This window comes from Homo sapiens, chromosome 16 (genome assembly GCF_000001405.40).
Source record: "Homo sapiens chromosome 16, GRCh38.p14 Primary Assembly".
In the NCBI taxonomy this organism is placed as follows: domain Eukaryota; kingdom Metazoa; phylum Chordata; class Mammalia; order Primates; family Hominidae; genus Homo; species Homo sapiens.
In genome coordinates, this window is record NC_000016.10 from 56,359,375 (window position 1) to 56,380,682 (window position 21,308).

Below are 21,308 nucleotides of genomic sequence, written 5' to 3' on the forward strand. Positions count from 1 at the left end.
CCGAGCAATATTCCGGCTGAGATCAGATCAGATCTGAAACCAGTTAAAATCCTTTAAACGCTCAATCCGCCTGCTTCGGATCCCAGGCAAGATTTAAAAAAAAAAAAAAAAAAAAGTGGTCCTTTCACTGCTACAGCCAATTCCATTCCCAGAGAATTAGTTCCTTTGGTTTGATATTCATGTGACTTTTGATGTTTGGGGATAAGGCTTTGCCACTTAGGAGAGTATCTTTGGTTAAAAAGACTCAAAAGCCAGAAATATCAGCTGTTTGTCCCAGCTAAAATTGGGTAATATGAGATTTCAAAGGATTTTAAGAGCTCTACGGTTAGAAGTCAGCTTAATTAAAAACTGATATTCAGGATATATGTTTATCTTGGTAAGGCCTTCCTGCTTTTTCTCTTTTGGGATCCTGTTTTTGGTAATTTTTTTTCTAGTTGACTGGAACCCCCTCTCTAAAAAAAAATGATGTGCTTGTTTCCTCTGTGCACTTCAGTTCCTAAAAATCATCCTCCCGCTTACTTCCTCTCTTCCCTCTTTCTTCTCTGCCATCTTGGCTACCACATGAAAAGACCTAGAGGGGACCTCTAATGACTCAGAGCTCTTAAGGAAAATAGAAAAGGCACCACAGACTCCTCTCTTGGGGAGAAATCTGTGTTTCCCCCACAGAACTGGAACCCCAAGAGTTGCAAGTGGACAGATACCTCTCAAGTCAACTCTGCCCTCTTTTGTATTTCATGACTGGATCTCCTTGGTCCCAGAGACTGCTCTGTCCTGCGCTGTGAGAGCCTGACCTTGCGTGTGTGATGGCTGCCAGAGGCGGCTCACTGCAGTTGTTTACAGTAAATGACTCTATCTAAAAGCTCCACAAGTGATTCTAACATGCAGCCAAGGTTGGAACCATGTCTAACCTAACAGATGAGCAGCAGCCCTGCAAGATGGAGGCTCCAAATGACGGAGGGCCTTCGAGGGCAGGCAGGCGGCCGCTGCTCCTTGCCAGGGCTTGTCGGCAAGGCCATGGCTTCCTTTTCCATGTGTGTCCAGCTCCAGCAGGACTGAAAGTCCCCACAGACAGGATCAAGTTGGCTGGCTACAGATAAAAGGACACATTGTCTACTTAGCCCAAGTGGAAAATCAGGCCCAAGAGGCCGCCTGGGCACCTGGATTCACATCAATACAAGTGAAACAGCCACATGGCCCACCATCCTCTATGGTACAGAAGAGCCTCAAAATTCAAAACAAAACAAAAACTGAGGAGAACCTAGGAAGTCAAAACAGGGCCACTAAGAAAATGGAGAGGGCAACACAGCCTCATTCCAAAAGAGCCCACAGAGGCCAGGGGCAGCCCAACCACCATTCACCAGAGCACCCGGATGCTCCTTCTGCTGCGCTTACAAACCTGGACCCACAGCCCTGAGTGCTGCTTCTCCAGGGGCTGGGCGTGAGGACCATCTGCCTGACCCTGCAGCTGGCAGGGCAGCAAAAGTGGTCCTGGGAGGGGAAGCCCCCAGCATAACTGCCACTGCCCTCAGCACCTGTCCCGGACGCCCCCAGGAAGTGGTGAAATCCTCAAGTATCCAGGTGTAAAATGGAAGGGCGGACTGAGAACTTCACTTCTTGCATCATTTTAAGCTACTTAATAAGCTCCTGCTCTAAACACTGTGATATGGCTGTTTTGTAATGTGTCAAGACCCTCTAAAATTGATCCAAGTAATTTTCTCTTTTCACACATCAGAAACCTGTGAACATGTGGAATTAGTGGCACCTACAATGGGTGCAACGTGTGAAGTATAATGTAATTCGAGGACAGTAAAATAATCTTTCGCTACACACTTACCTGAAAAAAAAAAAGATATAAATACAAGGGGAAGAAAAATGTAGTTCTGCCTTCCCCAAATACACTACTAGGAAAAACAAAAGTTCCCAATTCAAAAACATGGGAAAAAACCCTCCAACCAAAATAGTATACACAAAATCCAAATCAAAATGGGGTTTAACGTTGGCACCTCTGGAAAAAGATGCCTTAGCTTCCAGCCACACAAAAACATGCCTTAGCTTCCAGCCACACACAACACACCAATAGAGTTTGCTTTTTATTATTATTATTGTTTTACAATAAAAACAAATAGCTATGCTCTCAGCAAAACAAATTAAAAAAAAAAATCACAGAAATTTACTAACAGCATTTCAAGGTAAGGCTTTTGAAAGATTTATTGAAATAAATTATCTTTGCCTAAAAATTTACCTATCACCTTTTTCAATTACTTTTCAACATTCTAAAAACTTTCCGTTATGTAAAATACATTTAAACTTTGCCAATAATTGTGGATAATACTGGATTCTTCCCAAAAGGACTACCACAAAACAAAGCTTTCAAAGAGTAAAAAAAAAAAAAAAAAAAAAAAAAAAAAAAGTAATCCAATGGGGCATAAAACTGAGGTCTGTAACCTATGACTTCATGGTTCAAATCCTTAAAGTTAAACATGTGAAGAATTTGAAGAGATTTGGGACCTGGGCCCTCTCCAAGGCAGGTAGGTTCACACCTTACCTTCTCTGCTGAATTAAACCAGGAATAACACAGCTAGGAAAACGCAGTGCTCCCAGGATAAAAGATACAAAAGTTCTTTTTTATTTCTTTAATAAAGCCCTTCAAGGTTTACTCTCCCATCTTGCAAGGCCCACATCTTGTTCAAGGACCAAACCCACAGGCTTTAGCACTGCCTAATTTACTTCACCAATGAATGAAAACCATAAACCAAAGCTTGCTGCCTAACCACTCCCCAGGTCCAGACGGGACAAGGAAATGCTGAGAGGGGAGGGGACCCATGGGGCACACTCATGAGATGCAGGAGCACCAGAGTTCACGGAAATCAAGCCGGCTTTGGACTGGAGGCTCGGAAAGTCAGTCCCAGATGTAGTGGGACAGAAAGGGGTGACTTCATCACACCCTATAGCCCTGGACTTTCCCCTCCTCTGCTCCAGGTATCGAACCAAGAGTTCCTTTTCCAAGATGCCCTGCTGGCTCAGGGGTGCATGAGCCCGTGGGTCTGGCCTCTGGCACAGTCTACATGCTTCCACAACAACGACAGCAGTTTGATAACAGATGTTACCCCACGACGTGGGGGCGGGCTCACACTGTGCGCCTCCCCCACACTCTTCCCACTGGGTGTGGTGCTCAGGACACCTGCATTTGTGGGACGTACGCATGAGGCAGGAGTAGAAGCTGCCTGCTGCAGGCAGGCGACTGCTCACTTCCTCCTGATCGTCCCCCACCCCAAGCAGTCCAGTCAACACCAGAAGAGATCATACCTACAGTTAAAATTTGCAGTGTTTCTAAGGGGAAGAGAAATGTCACATAGAAAGTATTACAAAGAAGGATTAAATTTATCAGCTGTCCAAACACTATAAGACCACATGCTTTATACAGCGGCAATGCAGTCAAGCCCGCTTTTCCATGGAGCGGGCAGAATTGGGACAGGCCTCCTCCAGTCAGTCGGGCACAGGGCGCAGGAGGCAGCTGAGGAAGGCAAGGGAGCGCTAGGAGGTCTGCTGCTTCTGAAGCCTCCGTTCCGCGGCGGCAGCCAGCATCCTTCGACGCAGGGTCACGGGGTCAGAGGACGCACCTTCCGAGGGGAGGAAGCTCTCTGAGGCCGCATCATCTTCAGAACTTTTGTTCAAGAAACGTCTAGAAAAAACAGAAGACTTTTTCTCTCTCATAGGAGAGATGGGGAGCTGTGGAACACAGCCAGAAGGTTGATTTCACATCTCCCCATGTCCAGGCACCTTCATGAAGCTGTCACTCAGCACCACCCAATGACCAAGACATCCAGCCCCCAACAGATGGGCGCAAATTCTCTCTGCACCAGGGAGGAACCCTTCAGTGCTGTTCCCTGCTGTCTCTTCCTGCCCATCCCCTCCACCCACAGACACAGCACAGAACTCCCACAATCACAGGGTCTGCCAGGGCCCAAACCCACTTGAGGAACACAGTGCTGGCCCTGTCCTTAAGAGCTGGAACAAAACCCCCTCTATCCACAGGACACACCTGCTGTAGCTGCCACCAACCATGGGTGTGTGACGCACAGATGCGCTGAGTGTGTGTACAATGCTCAGCTGAAAGGCAGAGTGGTCAACAGGGAGGACCTGGGAGACAGACGCCAGGGCCAGGCCAGTGCTAACCTCTCCAGCCTCCATTTCTTCAGCTGTATGTCAGCTGAATGGGTTAACAGTGCTCCCTCTTAGAGCTGTTAAAGTAATTCATATAAAGGGCTTAGATCAGGTTAGCACACAAGTGCTCTCTCGGCAAGCGTGGCCAAAGGGGTCCATGGGAGATGACTGACAGTACCAGCATCAGAGGTAGACCAGTGGGGCCCAGTGTTACCAGATGCTCTGGTTTTTTCAAGAGAGGCTTGAAATCTGAGTTTTGGGGTGGCATGTAATGCCGTTTCACTGTTGGCATCTGTTTAAAAAGAGAAGACGGCCTGACAACGGCCTTCAGCCACTAGTTTTTGATCTGGATTATGCCAGGTGGTCTGGAGAAGCGACTCACTTGCGAGCTTGCTGGAGGAGTTCGTCCTTACGCTGCACCAGCATGCGCTGTCTCTCATCAGCAGACTTGGAGAAGCGGCTCCCACGAGCCTCGAAGTCTTCCACCTCACTGGGCTCCACTTCCACCTCGCCGAAGTCCAGCGTCTCCTCCAGGCGAGGACTGAGGTCCAGTGGCACACGCTCGGTCTGGACACGGGGCAGGAAGCAAGGAGGCAGCTGTGAGCACAGGCCTCCCTCCTAAGCAGGTTCCTCACCTACAGGGCACCCCAGACACGGCTGTTCTGGACGCAAAGAGAAGGCTGCTGCCAAGCAGGGAGGCAGAAACTAGGAACCACAAGCTACGGATAATGGAGCAGCAGCTTCCCTGAGGGCAGGCCTGCTGCCTATGGCTTGAGTAGTACTAAGAACAGGACCTGACTCACACAGAATGTTCGGCATCAGAGGGTAAGTAAATGATTACCAGCATGAAAAACGTAAGCACCTTCAAGCTGCACTCTTAGAATACGCTACCAACACGACAACCGTGAGTTTACATCCTGGGAATTTTCTGTTCACTTCTACTAATTGCTCAAACATTTAAACCAGTCTTATCCAATCTTCTGCACAAATTTTATATCCTCAATTGACTCTGAAAACAGAGGTAAAAAGGAAAACTGCTAGGCATCTATTTATTTATTTATTTACAGACAGGGTCTCACTCTGTCACCCAGGCTGGAGTGCAGTGGCACAATCTCTGCTCACCACAGCCTCAACCTCCCCAGGCTCAGGGGATCCTCCCAACTTAGCCTCCCAAGTAGCTGTGACCACAGGCTCGTGCCACCACATCTGGCTAATTTTTGTATTTTTTGTAGAGACAGGGTTTTGCTTTGTTGCCCAGGCTGGTCTCAAACTACTGGACTCAAGCAATCTACCCACCTCAGCCTCCCAAAGTGCTGGGACTACAGGCATGAGCCACTGTGCCCAGCCCTAAGGATCTTTTGAAAAGACACAGGATGGATTATATGGTTCCTTGGCTTTGGTTGAAGCTCCAAAGTCCACGACAATGCCCAGGCACCCCCAGGTCCTAGCAGGTGCCTGACCATCTGCGCTGCTCATGCTCCCAGATGCAGACCTGCGCTGGCCAGGGTCAGCCCATTGCCCGCTTCTAGGCTGTGACAGAATGGAGGTGGGTGCAGCTGAGAGGCAGGCTGTTTTACTTCAGAGTTCCTGCTGGACCTACCCTCACTTTTTCCTGCCTTCAGCTAAGCTCGAGAGGGAACTTCAAGAGAACCATTCGTATCCCCGAGAGTCAAAGGACGGGGGAACTGGTGGCTGCATACACTTGAGAAATCTACAGAAAGAAACTGGCAGGAGCCAATAAAATACAGGGCCAGGGGAGCTGTGACGGGAGCACGTTCACCTTCCACTGACTCCAGACAACACTGTGTGTGTCCTGGAGCTTGGATAGGGCTCCTGCAGGAGGGAACCAACCTAAGGTTGTTGAAAACAACTGTGCCCAAAAGGACCACTTGGAGAGGTAACAGGACCCCCATGAAGGTGGGAGTGGTCATCAATAGCCAGCCCAGGGTCAAAGGAGGAGTTTCTGGGGCCAGATGGGGACAGGGAGATAGTTGGCATAACATGTACACACACACACACAGACACACGTAGTTGGCACAACATGTAGGTACATACACACACACGCACACACACGCTGGAGTCTCACTGTCCTATTCTATCCCTCTCCTCTAAGCCTGACCCTAGAGCAGGTTAGAAAAAATGGTGAGTGAAGAGGCGAGATGTTAGAAAGAAAACAGCCGCCCACCGCAACCCCTGCTCTGTGCAGCTGCATGCCTGACTAATACCAGCCTGAGCGGGGCAGGGCAGAGATTAGAACAGAGGGAGAGTGGAGCTGACAAGCTTACTGGGCTACACTGAGGTTTCTGTTAACTAATTGTTATTCAAGGACTTTGTATTTCTTCACAAATGACCAAAAATGTTGCACAGCAAGGTTCCCTGTGAAATACATACTTTCCTCCATTATATATACATATATATATATAAAATCCAGAACTCTTCATGCTAACTCTAGAAGCAGCAGTGGAAAATCAAGACAGGGACTGAATATGCTGTACCCACAGATGCCCCCAAGCCCACAGCATCCATATCTCAGCTGCGCCAGCTATTCAAAAACTGGAGGCCGGGCGCGGTGGCTCACGCCTGTAATCCCAGCACTTTGGGAGGCAGAGGCGGGCGGATCATGAGGTCAGGAGATCGAGACCATCCTGGCTAACACAGCGAAACCCCGCCTCTACTAAAAATACAAAAAATTAGCCAGGCGTGGTGGTGGGCGCCTGTAGTCCCAGCTACTCGGGAGGCTGAGGCAGGAGAATGGCGTGAACCCGGGAGGCGGAGCTTGCAGTGAGCCGAGATCGCACCACTGCACTCCAGCCTGGGTGACAGAGCGAGACTCCGTCTCAAAAAAAAAAAAAAAAAAAAAAAACTGGAAATGTAGACATGGACCCCTTAGAAGCCATGCACCATTTCACAAATGATGCATAATCCAATTACATAGGTGGATATGAAAATCTTAACCCAGCAACAGATTTGAAGAAGGCCTAGTAGTGTTTACTGTTTCCTCTTTGTAGAGAAAAACACAAGAGGTGAAAGCTTGTGTCATTTACCAGTGCTTCTAGAGGAGACCTTGTGCACCCCAGTAAGGGAAGGCAGCACCACCCTAGACCCAAGCCTGTGTGCAGGAAAGCCCCACATGGCACAAACACAGAAAGGCCAAGGTGGGGTTGTCCAGTTTTTATTTGTGGTCGCATAAGAAAGTGCTCTGACAATATGGTAACTGAGGAAGCGAATGGGAACCACAGAAGAGGAGTGGGATCCAGGGCCACAGGTGTAGGGCAGAGGGCACGGGCAGGGGGTGGGGGGAGGTGGCACCTCGGCCCTGCTGCTTGGAGTTAGGGTGGCCACCTCAAGGCACCCAAAGTGGGTCAACAAACAGATCTGGTTCTCAAGAAAGCCATGTTTTCCCCCCAGCCCCACTCAGCTCAGGCGGTCTCAGTTTTGCAAAATGCATGGATGTATCTGGAAATCCTGAGTTTGACAAGTGAGGTGTGGGGGAGGGCATCTCAATGGCCTCGGCTCCCTGGAGAGCTTGCCCTAGGCCATCCCCATCTGAGTTTAGATGGGTCCAGGCACCCTCACGGTCCCGAGCCCAGCTTCCTTCTGTCCTTCCACGGGCTCTCACTCAGGCTCAAGGTGGCAGGGCTGGCCCCGGGGAACACAACCCCTTTCTCTTCCAGCACATGAGGGCAATCCCCAGGGAATGACTGCCAGCCCTGCGTGGAAACACAGGCCACACCACGGGCACAGCCTGATTTGCTACCCTTCATTATTGGGATGGATACAGCACAGTTTCTTTTGTACTCGTGCCCTAAGCCTTGCAAGCTTCAGGACTGAGGAAGACCACTGTCGGGACCACATTCCCCCTCCACAGCTCCATGAACTCACTCTCACTAGAGTGCGGGTTTTACCTGAGCAGAAGTTTCTCCCTCTTCCTGGTCACTGCTTGGCCTTTCCACAGGACTGTTCAATGCAGGTCTGATGCTATCTGACCGCTGGAAGAGAAACAGTACCAAAAACAGTCCAGAGTCACACAGAAATCAAATCACAGACTCAGGGAAACCCTGGTGTGCAGAGGGAGCTATGGTACCCAATCCAACCTGTAACTCTAAGGAAGTCTACTGCACCACAGAAATTAAAATGCCATAAAGATTAAAAGCAAGACAAAGGAGCCTGGGGCCTAACCTAGAGTTCCAAGTTTGAGAGTCAGCAACTGGTCCCACTTTAGTTTCCTTTTGAATAACAGTAATTAGACAACAAAAACAATGATAACAGCAGAGAACACTGACTGAACACCTAACTTCGGCATGGCACCAAGGAAAACTGGGACATGGCTGTCTCGTCTATCTTCACGTCCTATGAAACAGGTGCTGCTGTTACCGTCCTTCTAGCCAGTTTAAGATCTCACACAATGCTGCAGACACTCTGGGGACCAGCCAGTAAGGTCTCGCCACCTCAGTGCTGGCTGGCCAGTGTCTGTATTTCATTGCCTGAGGACTTTCTCTGGCTGCATGAGGTAGTTCAGCCACCCCCAGAGGCAGCCCTCAACTAGTGAGGGAGGGAATTACTCTGTGAACACCCCAGTTCCTCATCTCCTGCGAGGGATATGTTCTGCACTGGATCCCAGAGGCCCCAAATGGGAAGGGGCTTGTCACCCACAGTGATAACAAACCTGCTTGATAACAAACCCATTACTGGCCACCCTCCCTTCCCCAGCTCACATCCCCACCCACAACCTGTGATTCCTGGGACCACTTCCCAAACTATGTGCATTCAAATCCTTGTCCCAGGGTCCGCTTCTGGGGAAATCCACAGCCAACAGCCAGGTCAAAGAGCTGAGAACTGGGAACCACATCTAATATCTCAGCCCATGTGACTGAGTCTATGCTCTTTCCTCTTCAAAGAGTCTCAGGTTTTATAATTTTATTAATAGATTTCCACATATTTTTACATACTAAAATTGAATCATTTGGGGTAGATTATTCCCTGGTCATACACAAATTCCACGGTCCTGCCAGAAGGCTCATCTATATTAATACTTCTTATGCTCATCAAAGTAGAGATCTGAGCTTTTCAAAAATCAAAACCACCACCTCAGACAGATGAACGGTAGCTAGTGGAACACCACACCAGTGTGCAAAGCCAATTAGGGACAGATGGCACAGCTCCTAGAGCAGGGGGTTGGCAAACTACAGCCTGAAGGCCAAGTTCACTACTCTATTTATTTTTGTAAATAAAGTTTTATTGGAACACAGTCTTGCTTATTTACTTAAATACTATCCATGGCTGCTGTATGACAGCAGAGTTGAGAAGCAACAAAGATCGTGTGGCCTGAAATGCCTAAATATTTATTATCTGCCTTTTAAAGAAAAAAATGTGGCCAATCCTTGTCCAACAGGAACCAATACTATGACTTCCTAGACTGGCAAGGGCAGGCTGGTGTAGAGTGTATATTTGAACAAAAAGTGACTCAAATACTCACCTTATCTTTGGTGTGTCTGTTCTCAGTTATTAATTTGGGAAAGTTAGAGAGTTTATAGAAACCCTTCATTAAGTCATAAATGATATTCAGCTGTTAAGTAACTAAAACAGTTAACCTACAGTATTCAATCTTTGTGAAGATAGAACCCATTTATCATGCTTTAAAAGCCCAGTTTTACCTGTGTAGGAAAAGGTACTTGAATCCGTCCTTCTAAAATATTGTCTGTTGTTATTTCAACTGAGCGTGTCAGCTGGAGGTCCTGCAGTACCAGATGGTATGGAACCTGGGGAAACATCTCTTGAATCTGATGAGCCTACAGGAATACAAATACAGAGTCCACAGAAACGTTCACTGTTAACAGTTGCTCACTGACGTCACAGTGTCTGGCAGGCTTTGGGCAGTGAATGTGGCATCATGCCCTGAAAACACAGGTAAGGGAGCCACCTTTATTCAGTAGGTCACCTTCACACTGCAGTCCCTTTAGTATTTTTCCAGGAAGCCAAACAGGCAACTGTGGACAGCATCAATTTCAACATAAGGAGAGCTCAGAAAACCAACTGGATCCCAAGAGAGGCTCGACTAGAATATTCCAGTTTTAAAAAGTGTTCATTTTAACTACCATTCGAACCAGCAATCCCACTACTGAGTATATACCCAAAAGGAAAGAAATCATTATATATGAAAGATACCTGCGCTCATATGTTTATTGCAGCGCTATTCACAGTAGCAAAAATATGGAATCAACCTAAGCGTCCTTCAACACAGGATTTGATAAAGAAAATGAGGCACATATATACCATGGAATATTACTCAGCCATTAAAAAAAATCATATCTTCTCCAGCAACACTGATGAAACTGGAGGCCGTTATTCTCAGTGAAGTAACTCAGGAACAGAAACTCAAATACCGTATGTTCTTATAAGTGGGAGCTAAACAACAAGTATGCATGGCCATCCAGAGTGGAATGAGACACTGTACTATGAAAGGTGGAAAGGTAGGGAGGGGAGGGCTGGAAAACTACCTATTGGGTACAATGTTCACTCTTTAGGTGACGGTAACACTAAAAGCCCAGACTTCACCACTGCGCAATACCTGCATGTAAGAAACCTGCACTTGTAACCTGTAAACACATCAAATAAATAAATGTTTTAAAAGTATTCATTTTAAAGCTCAAAATATCTTGGGTATAAAAATGTGTTTTCCTTAAAGATATAATTCCTAAAGGGAACAAACTTCTGATACACATAGCATGGATAAAATTCAAATACATCATGTTAGGTGAAAGAGGTCTGACTCAAAAGCCAGGCATATGATTCCATTTATATGGCATCTGGAAACAGGCAAAATTATGGGGAAAGAAACTTGATAAGTGGTTGCCAGGGGCTGAGGATCAGGGAAGGAAGTGGTTGCCAGGGGCTGAAGGTTGGGGAAGGACATGACTACAAAAGGACCTAGTGGAGTTCTGGAGGGTGCGGATCAAACTGTTGTACATCTTGTTTATGATGATACACAATTATGTGTTGAACTGGATGTTAAAAAGGGTAAATTTTTACTCTATTTCAATTATATCTCAATTTAAAAAAATTATAGAGAATGCAAATTCCTTATACGGCCCTGGAGCTGAGTTTTCCAACTGTACTCTGGAGACATCTCAGAGTTTATGTAGGGCTCTAGGGTGGGTGTGTGTGTAGGGAGAGCAGGCATAGGCCTGGCCACACCACCACCCATACTTTCATCCAAGCAGCTCTGGATTTTTTTTCCACATATGTAAATTAACTCTATAAATGTTTACATTCAAGGTTTTATTTTTGGAAAAGTTCTAATAACTATAACAAAAAAAGGAAGAAAAAAATAATTGCCTTAGGGGCACAATAAAGCCCTCCTGAGATATTAGCTCCTAGGGACACGTTGTTCTGACTATAGAAGGAGCAGGGAGTATGTCAACGTCAGGACCTTGAAGGAAAAGGTCGGCACCGGGCTCTGCTTAGAGCTCTTGCTGGGGGTGGAATGTTGGCAACATAAGCAGTGCCCAGGGCCCCCAGGGCCTCCTCATTCCTGCAGTCAGCTTGTTTATGTAAACATGAGTTGATCATTATTTTCCCAGGTCAGGTCAAATCTAACTGGGCAAGAGTCCATAAAAACCTCTAAAATCAGATAAAACTTCTCTTTATTCTTAAACAGCTTCCTCCTCATTTCCCAAATTTAAAAAATGCCTAGGATTCATTTTACTAGACCAAAGCTTTTCTACCAGAAAATCCAGCAAGTTAATTATTAGATCTTAATAAAAAATGCATGGTTCCAGTAAATTAGTTGTACCAAAAGTAGTCCACTCCAAACCATCACAGAACTGGAGGAAGAACAGCCAGGGCCTGCCTGAGAATTCTAAACAACTCCCAGAAGGGAATTCTGATTCCAACACCCTTGAAGTCTTGACTTTTTAAAGGAGGTCGGTGGGGTGGTCCAGCTGCAGAGCTTCAACAGCTGCCTGACCCCAAAGAACCCCTGTAATGCCTGCCATGAGCCCAGCAGTAGCTGCACTGGGCGACCACACTCCCAGGCCACCTATATGCACCAAGATGTCACCCTCACTCTCTGTTGGCAGTCCAGCTGAGGTTTAAGGAGAAAGAGGAGCCAGGAGAGTCATGCTTCCTTCTTCTTTTATTATGGCCCCAAGCAGATAAAATTTGCCATCTTAACCATTTGTCAGTGTAAGTGAGCCCTCAGTACCACTATATAGGTGAGTTTCACAGGCTGATTCAGCCAGCCCTGGAGCAAGTGTTACACTGTTGCTGACATGTACTGTATAGTTAGGCCGAGGATGGCTGTGTCTGTACTGAACATGCACAGGCTTTCTTGTCATTATTCCTAAACAATACAGTGTATAACAACCATTTACTCAGCATTTACATTGTATTAGGTATCAGAAGTAGTCTAGAGATGATTTAAAATATATGGAAGATGTGCGCAGGTTATATACAAACAGTATCCTTCCCCCATCTTTTTTTTTTACCTTAAACTATTAAGGGTTAAAGTGTCCCACTTTATATCAGAGACTTGAGCATTCATGGATTTTGGTATCTGAAGGAGGGGGTCCTAGAACCAATCCCCAGATACCAAGGGATGACTACATAGTGTGGCAGAGTTAACCACAGGCACATGGCTGCGCAACAGATCTGAACTTTTTCATCTTGCAAAACTGAAACTATATCTAAGGGACAACACTCCTATTTCGCCTCGCCTCGCCCCAGCCCTCCTGCAGCCATCATTCTGCTGTCTGTAAGAGTTTTATGTGGTATTTGTCTTTTTGTGGTAGACTTATTTCATGTAGCATTAATGTCCTCCAGGTTCATTCATGCTGCAGCATGCAACAGGATTCCCTTCCTTTTGAAGTCTGAGTACTATTCTACTGTACAGGTTTGCCATATCTTCCTTATCCATCCATCTCCAGTAGACATTTCAGTTGCTTCCACCCCTTGGCTGTGAGCCACGCCTTCTTTTTAAACCAAATTTCAATACGCCCGTAGCTATATCCATCCCTCCTCACAACCCTCTCTCCTACTCAGCTCCCCACCCTAGCCTGTTCTTTCAGTTGACTCTTCTATTTGTTCTGTCCCATCAATCTCTGCCCCTCAGTGATCATTCCTATGCACATACCAGATGTGCTTTCGAATCTACCCTTAAAAAACAACAGCCTGACACAGTGGCTCACGCCTGTAATCCCAGCACTTTGGGAGGCCGAGGCAGGTGGATCACTTGAGGTCAGGAGTTAGAGACCATCCTTGCCAACATGGTGAAACCCCATCTCTACTAAAATACAAAAAATTAGCCAGGTGTGGTGGTGCATGCCTGTAGTCCCACCTACTCGGGAGGCTAAGGCAGGGCAATTGCTTGAACCTGGGAGGTGGAGGTTGCAGTGAGCCAAGATCTCGCCACTGCACTCCAGCCTGGCGACAGAGCAAGACTCGGTGTTAAAACAAACAAACAAACAACAACAACAAAGAAAACCATGGAGGAAAACCTGACTTATAACTGACAAATTGGTACAGACTCAGTGTAACAACTCTGAGATGTAAACATTCCAGGGCACTCAGGCAGAGGTGGCTCCCCTGTAATACTGTGAGATTCAGTGCCAGGAGTGATCAGGTTTCTCAGTAAATATCCAACAAGCATCCCTTCCTGCTTCCAGCACAGGGAGGGGAAAAAGCACCTCAGTGAAATCAGCCAGGGCACACTGTTCTTAACAACGTCTGCCCTCAGGAGAAACTACTCAACCAGAACCTCATCTGCTGGGGTCTGATCAAAGCTGCACCGACCGGAGGGAACTCCAGTCCACTCGAACCATCCTGTCCCACAGGAGGAGGGGAAACTGAGAAGTAGATTGAAGTTCACAGTCCAGAGCATGGGCTCACTAAAAGACGGAGCCCTAATCCCAGGACTACAGCATGCTTCTTTCCCTCCCCCGACACCTACATCACGACAGGCCTGTTCACCACAGTCCTTTTTACGCAGTACATCATGTTCAACTATCATGAAAAAATTATAAGGCATACTAAAAGGCAAAAAACACAATTTGAAGAGACAGAGCAAGCATCAGAGCCACACAGAGCAGAGATGCTGAAATTAACAGACTGGGAATTTAAAACTATGATTAATATGCAAAGAGCACTAATGGATAAAGTGGACAGCATGCAGGAACAGACGGGCAGCATGAGCAGGCAGATGGAAATCTTAAGAAAGAACCAAAGAGAAGTGCCAGAGACCAGAAACACCAACACGAGTGAAGAATTCCCGTGACAGGCTTATTAATAGATGGACACAGCTGAGGGAAGAATCTCTGAGCTTGAGATACACACTTTGAAAATGGAAAAGCAGGCCAGGTGCAGCGGCTCACACCTGTAATCCCAGCACTTCGGGAGGTCAAGGCAGGTGGATCACTTGCGGTCAGGAGTTCAAGACCAGCCTGGGCAACATGGTGAAACCCTGTCTCTACTAAAAATACAAAAATTTAGCCAGGTGTAGTGGTGCACACTTGTAATCCCAGCTACTGGGGAGGCTGAGGCAGAAGAACTGCTTGAACTCAGGAGGTGGAGGTTGCAGTGAGCCGAGATCGTGCCACTGTACTCCAGCCTGGGTGACAGAGTGAGACTCCATCTCAAAAAATGGAAAAGCAAACAGAATAAAAACTGAAAATAACAGAGCAGAAAATTCAAGGACTGTGGGACAACTACAAAAGGTGTAAACGCACTTAATGGGAACTGCAGAAGGAAAAGAGAAACGAACACAAGAAATATTTGAAACAATAATGGCTGAGAACTTGTCCAAATTAATGTCAGACACCAAACCACAGATCCAGGAATCTTAGAGAGTACCAAGCAGGACAAAGGTAAAAAAAAAAAAAAAAAAAAAAAACACTACATCAAATTCATCAAATTCAAATTATAGAGAATCAAAGATTAAGAAAAAAATCCTGAAAGAAGCCAGAGGGAAGAACACCTTACTTTTAGAGGAGCAAAGTTAGGAATGACATCGACAGCTCCTCAGAAGCCCCACAAGCAAGAAGACAGCGAAGGGAAATATTTAAAGTGTTAAGAAAAGACTCACCAACAGAGAATTCTATACCCCACAAAATTATCCTTCCAAAAGGATGCAGAAACAAAGACTGCCTCCGACAAACCAAAGTTGGAATATGTTGCCGTGAGACCTACCTTACAAGAAATGTTAAAAATATTAAGTCGTTTAAAGAAATTGATATAGGTCAGAAAGCTCAGCTCTACATAAAGAAAGGAAGAGCATCAAAGAAGGTATAAATAAATAAAAACTGTTCTTTAACATAACATTCGATTCAAAATAACAGCAACAGTGCATTCAGTTATGTGTGCTTGTGCACGTGTGTGCTTATGTACTCACATACAGGTGAAATGAATGACAACAATGATACAAGGGACAGGAGCGAGGAATTAGGATTGTTTTGTTATCAAAAGGTACTCACACTTCCCATGCAGTGGTACAGTGTTATCTGAAAATAAACGAATTAGTTGCAAATGTATATTACAAACTCTAGGGCAACCATTAAAACAAGCTTGTCCGACTCATGGCCCACACAGCTTTCAATGCAGCCCAATACAAATTTATAAACTTTCTTAAAACGTTATATTTTTAATTTTCTTTTTTTAGCTCATTAGCTATCATTATTGTTAGTGTATTTTATGTGTGGTCCAAGACAATTCTTCTTCCAATGTGGCCCAGGGAAGCCAAAAGATTGGACACACCTGCATTAAAACAAGTAACAAGTATACTGATATGCTAAGAAAGGAGAAAAATGGAATTCTATAAAATGTTCAGTTAAAACCACAAGAGGCAGAGAAAGAGTGGAAGACAAAAATAGGAACAAAAAACAAGGGCAACAAATAGAAAACAGTAACAAAATGGTAGTTATTAATCCAAATACATTAATAATCACTTTGAACATCAATGGCCTAAATGTGCCAAGTAAGAGAGGTTGTCAGAGTAAATAAAGAAAACCAAGACCTAACTGAATGTTGTTTACCCACTTTAAAATAAAGACACATACAGATTAAAAGAAAATGGATTAAGAAAAATATACCACACCAACACTAACCAAAAGAAACCAGGAGCAGCTATATTACTTTCACAGAGCAAACGTCAAAGCAAGCAAAGTTATCAGGGATAAAGAACAGCATTACAAAATGATCATGGGGTCAATTCTCCAAGAAGACACGACATCTTTAAAGTATATACACCTGCTGGGCACAGTGGCTCATGCCTGTAATCCCAGCACTTTGGGAGGTCGAGAAGGGCAGATCACTTGAGGTCAAGAGTTTGAGACCAGCCTGGCTAACATGATGAAACCCATCTCTACTAAAAATACAAAAATTAGTTGGGTGTGGTGGCACACGCCTGTAATCTCAGCTACTCAGAAGGCTGAGGGAGGAGAATCGCTTGAACCCAGGAGGTGGAGGTTGCAGTGAGCCGAGATCGGGCCACTGCACTCCAGCTTGCGCAACCAAGTGAGGCTCTGTCTCCAAAACATAAATAAATTAAATAAATAAATAAATTTAATAAATAAAGTATATACATCTAACAACAAAGCATCAGACAAACTGAGGCAAAAATTAAAAGAACCACAAAGAGAAACAAAATAGATTTGGAGACTACAACACCTATCACAAATGAACACTCAAGCAGGCAGAAAATCAGTTAAGAACATAGCTGAACTCAATAACACCATCAATCAACTGTATACAATCAACATCTGTAGACTACTTCATCCAACAACAGCAGAATACACATTCTTCTCAAGTTCACATAGAACATTCAAGACAGACCACAAGCTAGGTCATAAAACACATCTTAAAATAAATTTAAAAGAATATAAATTACACAATGTCTGCTCTTAAAGCAGAAATCATTAACAGTAAGAAAACCGGAAAATCCCAAAATACATGAAGATTAAACAACACACCTCTAAATAACACATAGATCAAAGACGATATCTCAGGATAAATTTTAAAATATTTTGAATTAAATGAAAATGAAAACACAAGTTATCAAAATTGTGAGATGTAGTAAAGCAGTGCTTGTAGGAAAATGTATAGCACTGAATGTATATATTAGAAAAGAAGACATAAACAAGTTTCCATCTTAGGAAATTAGAAATAGAAGAATAAATTAAATCCAAAGTAAGCAGAAGAAAACAAATAATCAAAATGAGAGCAGACATCAATGAAACTGAAAATAAGGAGTCAACAGAGAAAAATCAATGAAACCAAAAGCCGGTCCTTTGAAATGATCAATAAAATAGATAAGCCTCTAAGCCAAGCTAACTACGAAAAAAAGAGAGAGGACCTAAATTACTAATACAAGAAATATTATACAGATAACTTCTTATAATTAGAATTGCCAAAACTTATGCAAGAACAAATAGACAATGTGAAGTTGTATAGATAATTAATAATCTTCCACAGCAGAAGGCATCAGCCCACATGAGTTCGCTAGTGAATTCTGCCAAACATTTAAGGAAGAAATTGTATCAATTCTCTACAATCTCTTTCAGAGGACAGAAGCAGAAGGGATACTTCCTAATTCATACTATAAGGTCAGCATTACCCTAATACTAAAACCAGAGAAAGAGATTACAAGAAAACTACAGACCAACATCTCTCATAAACACATATGTAAAAATCCTCAATAAAATATTAGCAAATCAAATCCAACAACACATAAAAATAATTATAAACTACATCCAAGTGGTATTTATTCCAGGTACATAAGGCTGGTTCAACATTTGAAAATCAATTAATATACTTCTATATTATCAACAGGCTAAAAAAGAAAAGTAACATGACCGTATCAGTAGATGCAGAAAAATCACTCAACAAAATCCAACACCCATTCATGATAAAAACTCTCAGTAAACTAGGAATAGAGGGAAACTTTGTCACTGTGATAAAGAATATCTACAAAAACCCTACCACTAACATCATGCTTCATGGTGAGAAACTCAAAGCTTTCACATTAAGATCAGGAACAAGACAAAGATGTCCCATCTAACCACTGCTTTCCAATGTCATCCTAGAAGTCCAAGCTAATACAATAAGACAAGAAAAGAAAAGCAAACAGATTGGGAAGGAAGAAATAAAACTCTGCAGATGACATGCTCACCTATGTAGAAAATCTGGAAGAACTGATAAAAACACTCTTGGAACTAATAAGCAATTACAGCAAAGTTGTGAGATACAAGGTTAACATACTACAGTCAATTGCTTTCCTATATACAGAAACGAGCAAGTGGAATTTGAAATTAAAAGCGCAGTATGCTTTATATTAGCGCCCACAAAACAAAATAGGACAAAATACATATAAGTTCTATATGAGGAAAATTACAAAATCTTGATAAATGATATCAACGAAGAATGAAATAAACGAAGAGATAGTCCATGTTCATGGGCAGAAAGACTAAATATTGTCAAGATGTCCATTCTTCCCAACTTGATGTACAGATTCAATGCAATCCCAATTAATATCCCAGCAAGCTATTTTGTGGATATTGACAAAATGATTCTAAAGTTATATGAAGAGACAAAAGACTCAGGATAGCCAATACGATATTGAAGAAGAACAAAGTTGGAGGATTTGACACTGCCTGTCTAAAAGATTTATTACAAAGCAACAGTAATCAAGACAATGCGGTATTGGCAAAAGAACAAATAGATCAATGGAACAGAATAGAGAGCCCAGAACTAAACCCACATAGCTGGGTTGACAGCTATACTAAACCCACATAGCTGATTTTTGACAGAAGAGCAAAGGCAATACAATAGAGAAAAGATAGACTTTTCAACAAATGGTGCTATAACTGGCCATCCACATGCAAAACAATAATCTAGACACAGCCCTTATACTCTTCACAATAATTAACTCAAAATGGATCACAGGCCTAAATGTAAAATGCAAAACTATAATACCCCTAGAAGATAACAGAGAAATAAATAACCTAGGGTATGGCAATGACTTTTTAGATACAACACCAAAGGCACAATCCATGAAAGAAAATAATTGATAAGCTGGACTTCATTAAATGTAAAAAGTTCTGCAAAAGACAATGTCAAAAATAAGATGACAAGCCAGATTGGGAGAAAATATTTGTAAAAGACACATCTGATAAAGGACTGCTATCCAAAATATACAAAGAATTTTTAAAGCTTAACAATAAAAAAACAAACAACCTGATCAAAAAATGGGTATAAGATCTTAATAGATACTTCACCAAAGATAGATGTACAGATGCCAAATAAGAATATAACAAGTTGCTCCACATCATATGTCATTAGATAAATGCAAATTAAAACAAGACACCACTACATATATATTAGAATAGCCAAAATCTGGAACACTGACAAAACCAAATGCTGGAGAGGATGTGGAGTAACAGGAACTCTCATTCACTGCTGGTGAGAACGCAAGATGATACAGCCACTCTGGAGGATGATTCGGCAGCTTCTAACAAAACTAAACAATTTTACCATTTGACCTAGCAATCATGCTGTTTAGCATTTGTATTTGTCGTTTTCTCATTGCTGATAAAGATATATCCGAGACTGGCAATTTACAAAAGAAAGAGGTTTAATCAACTTACAGTTCCACATGGCTGAGGAGGCCTCACGACCATGGCAGAAGGCAAGGAGGAGCAAGTCACATCTTACATGGATGGTGGCAGGCAAAGAGAGAGAGCTTGTGCAGGTGAACTCCTCTTTTTAAAACCATCATATCTCGTGAGACTTATTCACTATCACGAGAACAGCAGGAGAAAGACCTGCCCCCATGATTCAACTACCTCCTACCAGGTCCCTCCCACAAAACGTGGGAATTCAAGATGAGATTGGGGTGGGGACACAGTCAAACCATATCATTCCGCCCCGGCCCCTCCCAAATCTCATGTCCTTATGTTTCAGAACCAATCATGCCTTCCCAACAGTCCCCCAAAGTCTTATTTCAGCATTAATTCAAAAGTCCAAAGTACAACATCTCATCTGAGATAAGGCAAGTCCCTAACGTCTATGAGCCTGTAAAATCAACAGCTAGTTAGTTACTTCCTAGATACAATAGGGGTATAGGCATTGGGTAAATACAGCTGTTCCAAATGGGAGAAATTGGCCAAAACAAAGGGGCTACAGGCCACATGCAAGTCCAAAATAAGGTAGGGCAGTCAAATCTTAAAGCTCCAAAATGATCTCCGCTGAATCCATGTCTCGCATCTGGGTCACGCTGATGCAAGAGACGGGTTTCCGTGGTCTTGGGCAGCTCCACCCCTGTGGCTGTGCAGGGTACAGCCTCCCTCCCGGCTGCTTTCACAGACTGGCGTTGAGTGTCTGTGGCTTTTCCAGGCACACAGTGCAAGCTGTCAGCAGATCTACCATTCTGGGGTCTGGAGGACAGTGGCCCTCTTCTCATAGCTCCATTAGGCGGTGCCCTAGCAGGCATTCTGCGTAGGGGCTCTGATCCCACATTTGCCTTCCGCACTGCCGTAGCAGAGGTTCTCCATGAAGGCCCTGCCCCTGTGCCAAACTTCTGCCTGGGCATCCAGGTGTTTCCATACATCTTCTGAAATCTAGGCGGAGGTTCCCAAACCCCAATTCTTGACTTCTGTGCACTCGCAGGCTCAACACCACCTGAAGGCTGCCAAGACTTGGGGCTTCCACCCTCTGAAGCCCAATGGCCCCTTTCAGCCATGGCTGGAGCAGCTGAAACACAGGGCACCAAGTACCTAGGCTGCACACAGCACAGGGACCCTGAGCATGACCCACGAAACCATGTTTTCCTCCTAGGCCTCTGGGCCTGTGATGAGAGGGGGCTGCTGTGAAGACCTCTGACATGCCCTGGAGATATTTTCCCCATTGTCTTGGGGATTAACATTCAGTTCCTGGTTACTTATGCAAATTTCTGCGGCCAGCTTGAATTTCTCCTCAGAAAATGGGATTTTCTTTTCTATCGCATTGTCAAGCTGCAAATTTTCCAAACTTTTATGCTGTTTCCCTTTTAAAACTGAATGCCTTTAACAGCATCCAAGTCACCTCCTGAATGCTTTGCTGCTTAGAATTTTCTTCTACCAGATACTCTAAATCATATGTCTCAAGTTCAAAGTTCCCCA

At 44.2% G+C, this 21,308-nt stretch overlaps 1 protein-coding gene across 4 annotated transcripts in view, besides 2 other annotated features; it reads right to left on the reverse strand.

Moving 5' to 3' along the window:
* The window catches only part of AMFR (autocrine motility factor receptor), a 64,094-nt gene continuing 44,863 nt past the window's right edge, over window positions 2,078-21,308 (reverse strand). For all 4 annotated transcript variants that reach the window (NM_001144.6, NM_001323512.2, NM_001323511.2 and 1 more), the window contains 4 exons: window positions 9,819-9,953; window positions 8,070-8,153; window positions 4,547-4,731; window positions 2,078-3,682 (listed from right to left, as the gene is read on the reverse strand). In NM_001144.6, the coding sequence (NP_001135.3) occupies window positions 3,535-3,682; window positions 4,547-4,731; window positions 8,070-8,153; window positions 9,819-9,953 (552 nt within the window). In that variant the 3' untranslated portion in view covers window positions 2,078-3,534. The remainder of the gene's footprint in view (window positions 3,683-4,546; window positions 4,732-8,069; window positions 8,154-9,818; window positions 9,954-21,308) is intronic.
* Window positions 2,965-3,138: a silencer, noted in NCBI's record as "fragment chr16:56396251-56396424 (GRCh37/hg19 assembly coordinates)". NCBI's record gives its function as "represses an EF-1alpha promoter that drives an FKBP-Casp9 reporter gene in an ReSE screen in HepG2 liver carcinoma cells {active_cell/tissue: HepG2}" and the evidence as "EXISTENCE:reporter gene assay evidence [ECO:0000049][PMID:32094911]".
* Window positions 3,161-3,661: an enhancer, noted in NCBI's record as "H3K4me1 hESC enhancer chr16:56396447-56396947 (GRCh37/hg19 assembly coordinates)". NCBI's record gives its function as "activates a minimal SCP1, AML or CMV promoter by ChIP-STARR-seq in naive H9 embryonic stem cells {active_cell/tissue: H9 hESC(naive)}" and the evidence as "EXISTENCE:reporter gene assay evidence [ECO:0000049][PMID:30033119]".